The 13000-nt window shown below is 52.5% G+C and overlaps 1 protein-coding gene across 5 annotated transcripts in view; it reads right to left on the bottom strand.

The window, feature by feature from the left end:
• ELF4 (E74 like ETS transcription factor 4) overlaps positions 1045-13000 on the bottom strand; it is a 47904-nt gene continuing 35948 nt past the window's right edge. For 3 of the 5 annotated variants that reach the window (NM_001440766.1, NM_001421.4, NM_001440765.1), the window contains exons 3-9: positions 11671-11842; positions 11139-11231; positions 9316-9507; positions 8426-8509; positions 8130-8322; positions 6390-6767; positions 1045-4615 (exon numbers count right to left, since the gene is read on the bottom strand). In NM_001440766.1, coding sequence (NP_001427695.1) covers positions 3811-4615; positions 6390-6767; positions 8130-8322; positions 8426-8509; positions 9316-9507; positions 11139-11231; positions 11671-11842 — 1917 coding nt within the window. In that variant the 3' untranslated portion in view covers positions 1045-3810. Of the gene's footprint in view, positions 4616-6389; positions 6768-8129; positions 8323-8425; positions 8510-9315; positions 9508-11138; positions 11299-11670; positions 11843-13000 lie in introns of those variants that run through there. The other 2 variants (XM_011531308.4, NM_001127197.2) reach the window with 2 other exon arrangements.

Below are 13000 nucleotides of genomic sequence, written 5' to 3' on the forward strand. Positions count from 1 at the left end.
TCTGCCTCCCGGGTTGAAGTGTTTCTCCTGCCTCAGCCTCCCGAGTAGCTGGGACTACAGGCACACACCACCATGCCCAGCTAATTTTTGTATTTTTAGTGGAGACGGGGTTTCACCATGTTGGCCAGGATGATCTCGATCTCTTGACCTCGTGATCTGCCTGCCTCGGCCTCACAAAGTGCTCGGATTACAGGCATGAGCCACCGCGCATGGCCAATGGATTGTATTTCTAAAGGAAAAGATACATAGAAGGGAAGAATATTCATTAAGAAAACACAGGAGTGTGTAAATAATGTTGAGTTTGTCTGTATTGCCTAGAGCAGGTAAAAGATAAATGGAGGATCTTGGTTTCCAGGTTTAAAATGCTTAGAATATATGTAGTAGATAATAAGAGCAAAAGCACAGAGTTTGGAAATTGTAAACAGAGGCATGTTCACAGGCCAGCAAATCCATCAGTTTGACTGGAGCAGTGCCTTGGGGTATGAGTGGTGGCAGAAGGAGCAGGGTGAGTTGACTGGGGAAGTCAGTTAAGACCCAAAGGTGAAGGGTCTTGATGGCAGGCCAAGGACTTGGGGCTTTGTCCTGAAGACAGGGCTGATGCTAAGCTTAAAATACTTCCGGAGCTACTGCCCTGAGCCCAAGTGCTCCCCCATCCCTATTCCAGGACCCCTGGACTGGCTTCAGCAACGAAAGGGCTAAGTTTAGAAAGGATTAGAGATTAAGTATTTTGAGTATCACCCCTACCTGTAGGCCAGGAGGAGTCAGTGAGGGCTTTTTATCAAAGGGCAAATGGGAGGGGTTGAGACAGATCACGCTGGGAGCCCCTGTGTGTCTTGGGTAGTTTGAACTAGGGTGGAGGCTTCTGGGAATGTGGAAGAAAGGCGAGGTTTTACGGACATTGCAAACCACAAGCTGGACTTCGGGAGACGGGAGAGGGGGATGGGGGTGAAGTGAAGGCAACGATCAGACAGCTCTGAAATTTCAAATTTAAGAGGTCAGGAAAACAGTGGCACCATTAACAGAAATAGGCAAGTCGTGACGGCCTTTTTGTTTGCTTGATTTTTATTATTATTATTATTATTATTATTATTATTATTATTATACTTTAAGTTCTGGGATACATGTGCAGAACGTGCAGGTTTGTTACATAGGTATACATGTGCCATGGTGGTTTGCTGCACCCATCAACCCGTCATCTTGGAAAGGTTTTTTGTGAGCGTGGAAATAATTTAAAAATCCATTGTTGGCCAGCCGTGGTTGCTCACGCCTGTAATCCCAGCACTTTGGGAGGCCAAGGTGGGTGGATCACCTGAGGCCAGGAGTTCGAGACCAGCCTGGCCGAAATGGTGAAACCCTGGCTCTACTGAAAATACAAAAATTAGCTGGGCATGGTGGCATGTGCCTGTACTCCCAGCTACTCAGGAGGCTGAGGCAGGAGAATCACTTGAGCCTGGGAGGCAGAGGTTGCAGTGAACCGAGATTGCACCACTGCACTCCAGCCGACAGAGCAAGACTCTGACTCAAAAACAAACGAACAAACAAAAACATTGTTGATAGAGGGGCTATCTTTAAGGAGCTGACAAGCACCCACATGGAAATGTTCAGCAGATTGCTGGAAATGTGAGCCAGGAGCTTAAGAGAAAGGTTGGGACTGGAGCTCTAGATTTAGGACCCATCTCCGAGGAGCCAAAATGAGCCCAAAATGGATGAGATTCTTGAACAGCCACGTTGGAAGTGGTAGGTGAAGAACCAGCCCCGGAAAGGGTGATGGGGGATGCAGGAGAGCCCAGCTAGTGTGGGCTCACGGGGGCCCGAGAACTGTGAAGAAGACATTTGATTTCACCATGAGGTCATTGATGACCTTCCAGCAATGAGTTTCCATGGAGTTGGAGTAGGGGTGGCAGAAACCAGTTTTCAGGTGGGGGCGGGGCTACCCCAACCCATGCAGCACCTTTATGCAAAATTTTTTTTTAATGGTGACCCTTTATCAAGATGCTTACTTTCAACCATCAGGAAACTGTCATAATAAACTGATTTTATTAGAAAAAGGCACTTTAATGCCAACTGCTGGAAACACGCATAGTAAATACATTTGCACAACCAAACACAGTGCCCTCCAGGGGGCAGGGAGAAGAAGAGTAGGAGAGGGTGATAGTTGTTGGCTTAACAAAGAAGAGAAGAGCGAGAGCGCGGCCAGGGGAGGTAGTTAGGTCAAGTGGATGGTTCTGTACCAAGGACACAGCAAAGGTCCTCAGGCACTGATTCACATTACCCAAAGTCACCAGATAATAGAGTTGTTTCCGTGGCTGACATTTCTTAGCCTTGCCCTCAAACTTGGCAGGAGGGAGGCAAGCTCGTTTAAAGAAGGGAGAGGGGAGGAGATCCAGGCAATTGGCCTAGGGGTTGGCTTTGAGAGAGAATAGGTTGACCCTTCCTCGGAAAGAGGGAAGGGGGAAGCAGGGAGCCACGAAGAGAGAGAGGTGCCACGGGAACTCCTGGCTGCCGACTCCCGTCTTCTTGGTGAAGGAGTCAGGGTTAGGTGTGAAAGTGGGAGATGAGGGGCATTGGTACACCCAAGGAGGTCTGCTGCAGTCATCACAGAGGCAGGCTGGTCCGCCTTCGAGGTGAGTTGCAGGCAGGCTGAGCAGCAGAAACCATGTGGTAGGTGCCCATGCTTGAGCAGGAATGGGGGTGGACCCCATCTAGGTCGCTGCCGGACTAGCCGCAGTGATGCCTGACAGCTGGAAAATGTCAAAAAGTAATCAAGAGGGAGCCCAGGATCGGGGAAGTAGGCTGGGGTGTCAGCAAAGGCTATTGTCTGGCGGGGGGCCGGTATCACACAAACAGCCCAAGCCCTAGGCACAAATACTCAATGAATTCAGCTCTGGGGGCTTTGTGGCTAGCTCTGAGGCTGGAGGGCACTTCATCCCCGTCTAAATCCTTCAGCAAAGCACTTTGGGGTGGCCCAAGATTCCAGCCTGACTGCAAGGTGACTGTGGTTGCTAACACGGCAAACTCCAGGAAGAGTACCTTGGTCCAGCCAGTGAGGGCTGCTCCCAGAGCTGACTTCCCTTCCCTCCCTTCGTGGTTTTACCCCACTCGGCCTTTGTGTCCCTGAGGAGCGCATCTTCCCCAATGTGCATGCGCATCAAAGCGTTCCTACTCTGCACTCGTTCCAGCTCTACAACATCTCCAGATTCGGAGGATCAAACTTGTACCCCATAGTCTCAGAGCAACTGAATCTCGGCATGAACAAAGGGAATTAGAGAATGCTTTCCCTTAAAAACAAAATCCCTATCCCTGTGGCTGATCCACGGAGACATACACACACCCTTGGAGACAAGACCTCACAGCTACAGCCCTGTCCTCCCCAAAGAAACTAAGATACAGACCAACAAGTACACACAAGTACATACAGGGATATTCACATATAGGGTAGTAAATTCCCTGTGTAGGGAATGCAGCCAGTGAGATAGAGCCAGGTAGAAGGGCTCTTCTCACAAAGCTGCTGCACAAACCCTGGCCACAAACTTCTGCCTGGCTCAAGGCTTTTTCCCTCCATCACCAAGTCAGCCCGTTATGCTGCCAAAAGCATATGCCCTAGTGCTCTTGAAGGCCATAGTCTGATGCCAGGGATGCTTAAGCTGGGCACTGTTTGGCCACAGTGACACCAGGCAGGGCCGGGGGACTTGGGGTCAAGTGTATTGACATCCCACTGAAATGCAGGGGCAGGTGTGCTACTGAAGTCGGTCCCTATGAAAATGCTGCTCAATTTTGCCTGGTGGGTCACACTTGCCCTGACCCCTTTGCTTATATGTCATGGGGCTCCATCTTAATGAGGGAAGTAGGGTTGAATGGGGAGAAAGGGGCTGGGGTGGGGGATCTTGTCAGAAGGCTCCCAGATGTGGTCACACTAGGCTCAGCCATCAGCAGGGACCCTGAGCCTGAGGAGAGCTCAAGTTCAGCCACTGGGGTCAGCCCAACAGTGGGGCGGCTGGGAGGAGACAAAGTCTGGTTGCCCAGAAGGCTCGGATTGTGGGAACCCCTGGAAACCACCTGGGTTGGAAGTGGCTGAAGATGAGCCTGATCTCTCAGGAGCTCCCTCAGGGTCTCTTCAGGAACCAGCAGCCCCTCCATGGGGGCCCCCGTCACCATACCCTGAACATAGGAGGAGGACCTCAGTGGCCCCTCCTTGACCCTAGGGGCTGCTGTAGTGCCAGAAGTCCTGATGAAGGCAGCAATGACAGTCCCAGGGGGCTGAGAGCTGGGCCCTGCTGGTCCAGCCCCTGTGACCGTGGGTGGCGCCGGGTTGGTCGGACGGTTGGCCCCAGCCAGAAGTTGGGGGAGGCCACTGAGAATCAGTGGAGCCCCTGGGGCTGCCACCTGGCTGTCTTGGAAACTGGCGTTCAGGGGGAAAGAGGCCTGCAAAGTGAAGGTGTCCTTGAAAGTAGAGGCCGCTGGAACACTCTGGAGAACGAGCTGAGTGGGAGCAGTAGTACTGGCAGGAGGCCCATTGGTCAGCACCGTGGTCAGTGGGATCGTCTGCAGGGTCAGGGCCGAGCCCGACCCCACGGGGGCCACTCCTAGGTGGATGTTGCTGGGCACTGAAGATGCACTGAGAAGAAACAGAGAACAGAGTTGGTTAAGGCAGGAAGTGTCCCTCAGCTGGTTAGGAAGGAGGGCACGAGAGGAATGGAGCTGAAGGTGTTTGTCGATTTATTTGCTGTTTGTTGTTTTTTTCTTTTTCTAGAGACAGGGTCTCACTCTGCTGCCCGGGATGGAGTGCAGTGACACGATTACTGCTCACTGCAGCCTTGAAGCCCTGGGCTCAAGCGATCCTCCTGACTCAGCCTCCCAAGTAGCTGGGACTACAGGTGTGTGCCACCACACCCAGCTAATTTTTAATTTATTTTTTTTTTTGAGACGGAGTCTTGCTCTGTCACTCAGGCTGGAGTGCAGTAGTGCAATCTTGGCTTACTGCAACTTCTGCCTCTGAGGTTCAAGTGATTCTCCTGCCTCAGCCTCCCAAGTAGCTGGGATTATAGGCGAGCACCACTACACCCGGCTAATTTTGTATTTTTAGTAGAGACAGAGTTTCACCATGTTGGCCAGGCTGGTCTTGAACTCCTGACCTCAGGTGATCCACCTGCCTCGGCCTCCCAAAGTGCTGGGATTACAGGTGTGAGCCACCATGCTCAGCTGTAGCTCACATTTATTAAGTACTTAGAATAGGTATATAGGTCAGGGATCATTCTAAATGATTGACATGTGGCATTTCACTCAATCCTGAAAACAGCCCACAAGTGGGATAAGAACAATCTGATTTTACAGCTTGAGGAAAGTGAGGCACAGAGAGGTTATGTATTAATAACTTGCTCCAAGACCAGCCATACCTATGTTATCCTTTGATTTCTTCCAAGTGGGGATGCTGGGGTCTCACAAGGCCTTGATGTGAGTCCCCGCTCTAGTGATTACACAGCCAGTATACATAGTAAGCACTACAGCAGGGCCTCACAACTAGGTCTTGTGATCCCAGAGCTCATCTTCCTCACCATTCCACTCTACTGCCTGCCCTCCTCGAAAGGGTGTCTCACTGCGCCAGCGTAGTGACTGCCTGCCCTCCTCGAAAGGGTGTCTCACTGTGCCAGTGTAGTGGGAGGTCCAAACACATAACCCAACAAAGTCCAACCTTCTCAGGGAAAATCGGAGGCCCCTTAGTGGGGATGAGAAGTAGTTGGAGCTAGCCGGGTGGGCCTGGAGGTCCCAAGGGGCTCACAGCAGGCAGCTCTAAAACATTCTCTGTTGCTTCTTTTCTAGAATGGAGGAGGCTTAGGAGGATGGGCCAGGACACGGACGCCCTGGTGGCTCCCTGGGGAGCCCCTCTCGTGTAAGCCCCCGGATGTGTGACCTCAGGCAAGTGACTTCCCCTCTCTTGACCAACAAGTGCCCTACTGGCTTTTCCATGGCTCTGGGAGGATCCCATGAGCCTGGCGACAGAGTAGAGCTTGGCAAGAAGTTGAAAACTGAGCCCTGCTAGGCACGGTGGCTCACATCTGTAATCCCAGCACTTTAGGAGGCCAAGGCGGGCAGATCACTTGAGATCAGGAGTTTGAGACCAGCCTGGTCAACATGGTGAAACCCCGTCTCTACTAAAAATACAAAAAGTAGCTGGGTGTGGTGGTGGGTACCTGTAATCCCAGCTACTCGGGAGGCTGAGGCAGGAGAATCACTTGAATCCGAGAGGCGGAAGTTGCAGTGAGCAGACATCATGCCACTGCACTCCAGCCTGGGTGACAGAGCGAGACTCCATCTCAAAAAAAAAAAAAAAGAAAACTGAACCCCAACATGATGTACTATGTGAAGACTCATGCTGACCTGGGTGCCCTTACCTCACAGCTTTGGTGAGCTTGACCTGGCCCTCTGCTGGAGAGACGAGCATGGTGGAGGTAGTGGGGATCTCCTCGTCTAGCGACGGTCCCAATTCCAGACTCGCAGATGGCTGGAGACCGACATGCTGAATTTTTGGCTTCTCCCAAGAAGAGCTGCCCTTGCCCTGGGGGGCAGATCTGGATGAGACCCTGGAGCTGGTTCGCCGGGTGGTACTGGCAGAGGCCACAGAGGCCGTGGAGGCCTGAGGTGGGGCTGCTGTGGCTTCGCTGCTCTCATCCTCATCTTCAATGACCACCAGGTCCTTGGGCATCTCCTTAAACTGGTACACCAGCCTCTGCCCTTCCACTTTGGCCAGTATGCCTCTTTGGTAGTAGTATCTAGAGGAAGAGGGGCAGGGAGTTGGGAGTTAGCCGGGAGCTGGGTGGGAGACCTTCTACCTCCATCTCCCCAGTGCTCCTCCCCGAGGGCTAGGCAAGCATGAGGCTGAGTGAGGCTGGCTGGGGAGCCAGCTGAGGGCCCAAGGGCAAGGGAAAGGATATGTCAACACCTGGACTTGGAAGGCTTTTATGACATTCCTGAGATTTCCCCCTGAGAACTCAAAGGATCACAAAAGGTTTTCAGATGTCACCCCACTCCAACCCCCTGCTTTGGGGCAGAGGACAGGGAATGACTGAAGGAGAGAACTGAGAGTGAGGGGATGGATGGCGGGAACAGCAATCCCCCAGCCTGAGAGACCACCTCTAGGACAACTCAAGCCCACCTCCCCGGGTCTCTGGCTTGCAGATGTGAAGAAAGCCCTTCTTGGGGAAGAGGGGGTGCTGAACTGCTCTTCCATTATAAAAAGCAAAAAGGAGGCCAGGCGCGGTGGCTCACGCCTGTAATCCCAACACTTTGGGAGGCCAAGGTGGGCAGATTACTTGAGGCCAGAAGTTCAAGACCAGCCTGGCCAACATGGTGAAACCCCGTCTCTATTAAAAATACAAAAAATGAGGCCAGGCGCCGTGACTCACGCCTGTAATCCCAGTGCTTTGGGAGGCCGAGGTGGGCAGATCACGAGGTCAGCAGATTGAAACCATCCTGGCTAACATGGTGAAACCCCCAGTCTCTACTAAAAATACAAAAAAATTAGCCGGGCGTGGTGGCGGGCGCCTGTAGTCCCAGCTACTTGGGAGGCTGACACAGGAGAATGGCGTGAACCCGGGAGGTAGAGCTTGCAGTGAGCCGAGATCGTGCCACTGCACTCCAGCCTGGGTGACAGAGCAAGACTCCGTCTCAAAATAAATAAATAAATAAATAAAAATAAAAAAAAAACATACAAAAAATTAGCTGAGCGTGGTGGCATGCGCCTGTAATCCCAGCTACTCAGGAGGCTGAGGCATGAGAATCGCTTGAACCCAGGCAGTGCAGGTTGCAGTGAGCCGAGATTGCGCCACTGCATTCAAGCCTGGGTGACAGAGCAAGACTCCATCTCAAAAAAAAAAAAAAAAAAAGAAAGAAAGAAAGAAAGAAAGAAAGAAAAAGGAAAAGAAAAAAGGCCAGGTCAGATACAAGAGGAGGGGGGCTCTTCCTGCCAGAGGGGGCCTGGGGAACAGACATAGGAGCAAGCTAAGAGGAAAGTTACGAGACTCGTTTCCTTAGGATCAATCAGGTCTCCATGAAAGCGAGGAGGACTCCTTGGACTTAAGGAAGGATTGGTGATCCCCAGGGCAGGGGTTCTGCATCATCCCAACAGCTCCTACCTTAGTGCCCGCCCCATTGTCTCATAGTTCATGTCAGGCTTGTTTTTCTGCTTCCCCCACAGCTTGGACACAGCTTTGGAGTCCACCAGTTTGAAGATGCCTTTCTCTCGCTGGGTCCACTTGATGTACTTGGGACAGGTGTTTCTGTCTTGCAGAAGAGCCAGGAGGAACTCCCACAGATAGATGGTGCTGCCTGCAGAGGGGCAGGCCGTGAGGGGCAGCCTGGGCAGCTGGGGCACCCTGGCAGCAGGGAAGGGGCTCCCTCCCCACCTCACCTGAGTCCCAGCTGTCCATACCTTTGCCATCCTTTGATTTCTTCCTAATGGGGATGCTGGGGTCAGTGACAGGTGAGGTACTTCGGTTGCCCTTGGTCTTCCGGACTATGAGGGAAAGGTGAGTAGGATGAGGAGCAGCTCCCAAGAGAGGGCCCGGGAGCTGGCCAAGTTGGCTGTGACAAAGCCAACAAGGAGGAGGCAGGTCACCAGGGCTGGAGGCCCCAGATCGCTCTCCACAGCCACAGCCCTCAGGCCTTTGCACCCTCATTTTCAGGCCCCCAGGGTAGCACTGCAACATGGCTACAATGTGGAGAAACCGGGTGCTTGCAAATAAGTCACCTTTGTGAGAACAGAATCTGCCTAGCCTAACTTCTGATACGGAAAGGCAGCCTAAAGGCACCAGTGTTGTGCAGGTAAGTGCGGTGCTGAGGTTCGGTTGCCATGCTGACAAGGCAGTATCAAGCAGCCATCGCCTGAGTAAATCAATAACACCGGGGCTTGGGAAAGCCCAAAGTCCTCTCTCATATATGGCCTCGGCTTTATAAGCTCTGCAGAAGGGAGATAAGCACCCGGCATGACTGGTCTTTTATAGGCTGAGGCCCCAGAGGTCCGGGGACTGGCCAGGGGGCCGAGCCTGGTGTCCAAACTCCCAGCCTAGGATTCAACCCATCGAGATCATTAATGTTTCTGAAAGAGTTTATGCAGATCCCAGGCAGACAGGGGCAGCATGGGAAATGTCAGGCTACAGGCAGACTAACGGATGAGGCCAGGTTTTACAGAAGGGAGGCCTTTTGGTCCATCTCTGTCACACCAGAGAGCTGGCCTCTTAACACATCCATGAGCCCTGACCGCCCCCCCACGCCCCGCCCATCCCCTCGGAGACACACATACACTCACTCTCCCCCACTTACTTCTCTTCTTTGATTTCCCAGTCTTCTTGGCACTTTCCTCTCTGGAGGCCTTCTCCTCCAGAGAATGCCCCTCCTGGTCACTAGTGTCACCCGCCCTGTTCAGGGCATCGGGCTCAGAGGCAGGAAACAGGTAGTTGGGCAGAGTGACAGCTGGTGCAGGGTCCGAGTCTGGAAGCATTTCGGAGGTACTGACTGCAAGAAGAAAGACCTGAGGTGGGCGGGGCCCAGGCAGGGCTGGAGCGGGGTCTCCCAGCGCTGGAGAGACGGGTAGGTTCCAAGGGAGGGCGGGGGGCTCATCCCCCCAGCCCCAGACACAGGATACACCTGAAAATGCCTCATGTGGCTTGTACCACGAGGAGAGGAAACATCTGCAGAGCTGTGGGCACAAGCTGGCCCCAATTACAGCTGCCACATTTATAGCCCACTGTTGGTGGTAGGGAAGTTCTAGGCGGCACCCCAGGTAAAGGGCCACCTTGATTTAGTCCTTGGCTCATTTTACGACTCAAAGGGGCCTTAGAGATCATGTAGCCCCATTCCTGTGTTTTCCTGATGAGGAAACTGAGACAGACCCAGAGAGGGGAAGTCATGTGCCCAAGGTCACACAGCAAGTTGGTGCCCGGTACAAATAGGCACCCATTATTGGATCCTGGATGAATACTGGTGAGAGTCAGGACTAGAAATCTCTCAGATTTCAGCTTTATGGCTTGCCTTCCCTCACTGTACCACACCACCCCTTGGGAGAAGGCAATCTGGGGGAACCCTCCTGTGCATCTGCCTGAGGGGTCATTGGGAAGAGCCTGCCTTGGGGGCCCTCTGGGGAGTTAGGAGCCTGGTAGGATGGGCAAGGATCACTTATTTCTTTATTTTATTTATTTATTTATTTAGACAGTCTTGCTCTTGTTGCCCAGGCTGGAGTGCAATAGTGTGATCTCGGCTCATTGCAACCTCTGCCTCCCGGGTTCAAGCGATTCTCCTGCCTCAGCCTCCCAAGTAGCTGGGATTATAGGCATGTGCCACCACGCCAGGCTAATTTTTGTATTTTTAGTAGAGACGAGGTTTTGCCATGTTGGCCAGGCCAGTCTCGAACTCCTGACCTCGTATTCCACCCGCCTCAGCCTCCCAAAGTGCTGGGATTACAGGTGTGAGCCACCACACCCGGCCTGGATCACTTATTTCTAAAAGAGCCACATGCTGCATATCTCAGTCTTCCTGGGAGCTAAGCAAAAGAGCAGAGGGGCCTGAGAAAGGCACCCTGGCCAATATTATTCAGCCTGAAATGGAAATAAATTATTATTATTTTTTTGAGACAGAGGTTCGCTCTTGTCACCCAGGCTGGAGTGCAATGGTGCGATCTCGGCTAACTGCAACCTCTGCCTCCTGGGTTCAAGTGATTCTCCTGCCTCAGCCTCCTGAGTAGCTGGGATTACAGGCTTGCGCCACCACGCCCAGCAAGTTTTTATATTTTTAGTAAAGATGGGGTTTCACCGTGTTGGTCAGGCTGGTCTCGAACTCCTGACCTCAGGTGACCCACCCGCCTCAGCCTCCCAAAGTGCTGGGATTACAGGCGTGAGCCACCGTGCCTGGCCTGAAAATGGAAAGAAATTCTGACACGTGCTACAACATGGATGGACTTTGAGGACATCGTGCTAATTGAAATAAACCCATCACCAAAATACAAAAAGATAAAAGTCATATGTATATCGGTGGGTGTGGTGCATGTATACCTGTGTGCACACATGCCTGAGAAACCAATACATGGATTTCATATTTTTAAATGGAATTATTTTGTTGCCTTGAGTTCAGGCACTGGGGTTCAAACTTACAGATCTGCTTCTCATCCAGGATATCGCTGGGAGACTCCATATTGAGTAAGACTTCCGCGGTTGACATGGTGTGCGAGGTGGCCTCATTGTCATCTGGTCCGGGTTCCATGGTGGGAGGAGAGAAGAAAAGTTCCCTCAGGGCACAAGGCAGGGGGTACAGCTATAATCAGGGCCAGCCCGAAGAAAGGATGGTGGTAAGCATCCTTCGGGCTGACCCTGAAGTGAGTGCTAAGTGAGGGAGAAACAGGGGACCCTGACCAGAGGTACTGAGGGACAGCCAGGAAGGGCCCAGCACCCCTCCTTACCTAACTCTCCACCCCCTCAGCTGGTCTTCACTCCTCATTGTCCCACCCCACTTCCACAGACCATGAATCTACTAAGATGGTTCCCTCCTCTGTGAAGCAGCACAACTTTTTGGCTGGTGGACTTGCCCATTCTGCACGGGGTTACTAGAGGCCATTGTGGGCTGCTGTTCCCTAAAGACACAGCCCCTTTTTCTACCACACCTTCTCTGCCCAGGAAGGGAACAGACCTGTCAGCAAAAAACTGCCTTCCAGGATCTGATCCTGCGTCATGCACAAGGTCCCGTCTGTTATGATGCCATTGTGAACGTCGTCCAACTCCAGTCCCGAGTACAGATGCAGTAAATCAGGGTAGGGTACCTGCTCCACGATCACAGCTGGGAACACAGAGGGGTCTTCCAGCTATGGAGAAGACAGGGATGTGATTCAAGACCCACCCAGCTCTTCCAGCAAACCCTCCCTACCAGAATCTGGCCCTCTGTGCAAGTCCTTATTCTTGGGTTCATCAGGGACTGTCCTTTGTATAGGATGATATAACTCTGGGTCCAGCCTCATTAGGTGATGCTTTGAGTGGGTTCTTGATGAATAGATGGGTTAGCTCTGCACCACCAGCCCTTTAAGCATTTTTTTTTTTTTGAGATAGAGCCTCGCTCTGTCGCCCAGGCTAGAGTGCAGTGGCATGATCTCAGCTCACTGCAACCTCCGCCTCCCGGGTTCAAGCGATTCTCCTACCTCAGCTTCCCCAGTAGTTGGGATTACAGGTGTGTGCCACCATGCCTGGCTAATTTTTATAGTTTTTGTAGAGACAAGGTTTCATCATGTTGGCCAGGCTGGTCTCGAACTCCTGACCTCAGGTGATCCACCTGCCTCAGCCTCCCAAAGTGCTGGGATTACAGGCGTGAGCCACCATGCCCAGCCAAGGGCAAGCTTTTTTTTTTTTTTTTGAGACGGAGTCTCACTCTGTCGCCCAGGCTGGAGGGCAGTGGCGCAATCTTGGCTCACTGCAAACTCCGCCTCCTGGGTTCACGCCATTCTCCTGCCTCAGCCTCCCGAGTAGCTGGGACTACAGGCACCCGCCACCACACCTGTCTAATTTTTTGTATTTTTAGTAGAGATGGAGTTTCACCGTGTTAGCCAGGATGGTCTCGATCTCCTGACCTCGTGATCCACCCACCTCGGCCTCCCAAAGTGCTGGGATTACAGGCGTGAGCCACTGCACCCGGCCAGGCAAGTATTTTTAACTGGTTGTAGTTATGGTTTAACCCGTGGCCAGGTTAGGGCTCAGTCTATGAGGATTAGATTCATTCTAAGGCCATTGGGAATAGACCAGCTGATGGCAAGGGCAAGGGGCTCAACCTATAGTCGGGGGACAAGAGGGATTCAGTCTAGAGTCAGGGCTGGGGACCTAGTTCGCAGCCAGAGTTAGGGGCTCAGACATCTTCGGGCTCCGTCTGTGGCAATGATAGTGGGAATGAAGACAGAACAGAGGCATTATAGAAGTAGAAATGTCAGGACTCAGTCACTGCCTGGATGGGGGAGAGGGGTTCAATTTCCAGCTTC

This window comes from Homo sapiens, chromosome X, assembly GCF_000001405.40.
Source record: "Homo sapiens chromosome X, GRCh38.p14 Primary Assembly".
NCBI classification, from domain to species: Eukaryota; Metazoa; Chordata; class Mammalia; order Primates; family Hominidae; genus Homo; species Homo sapiens.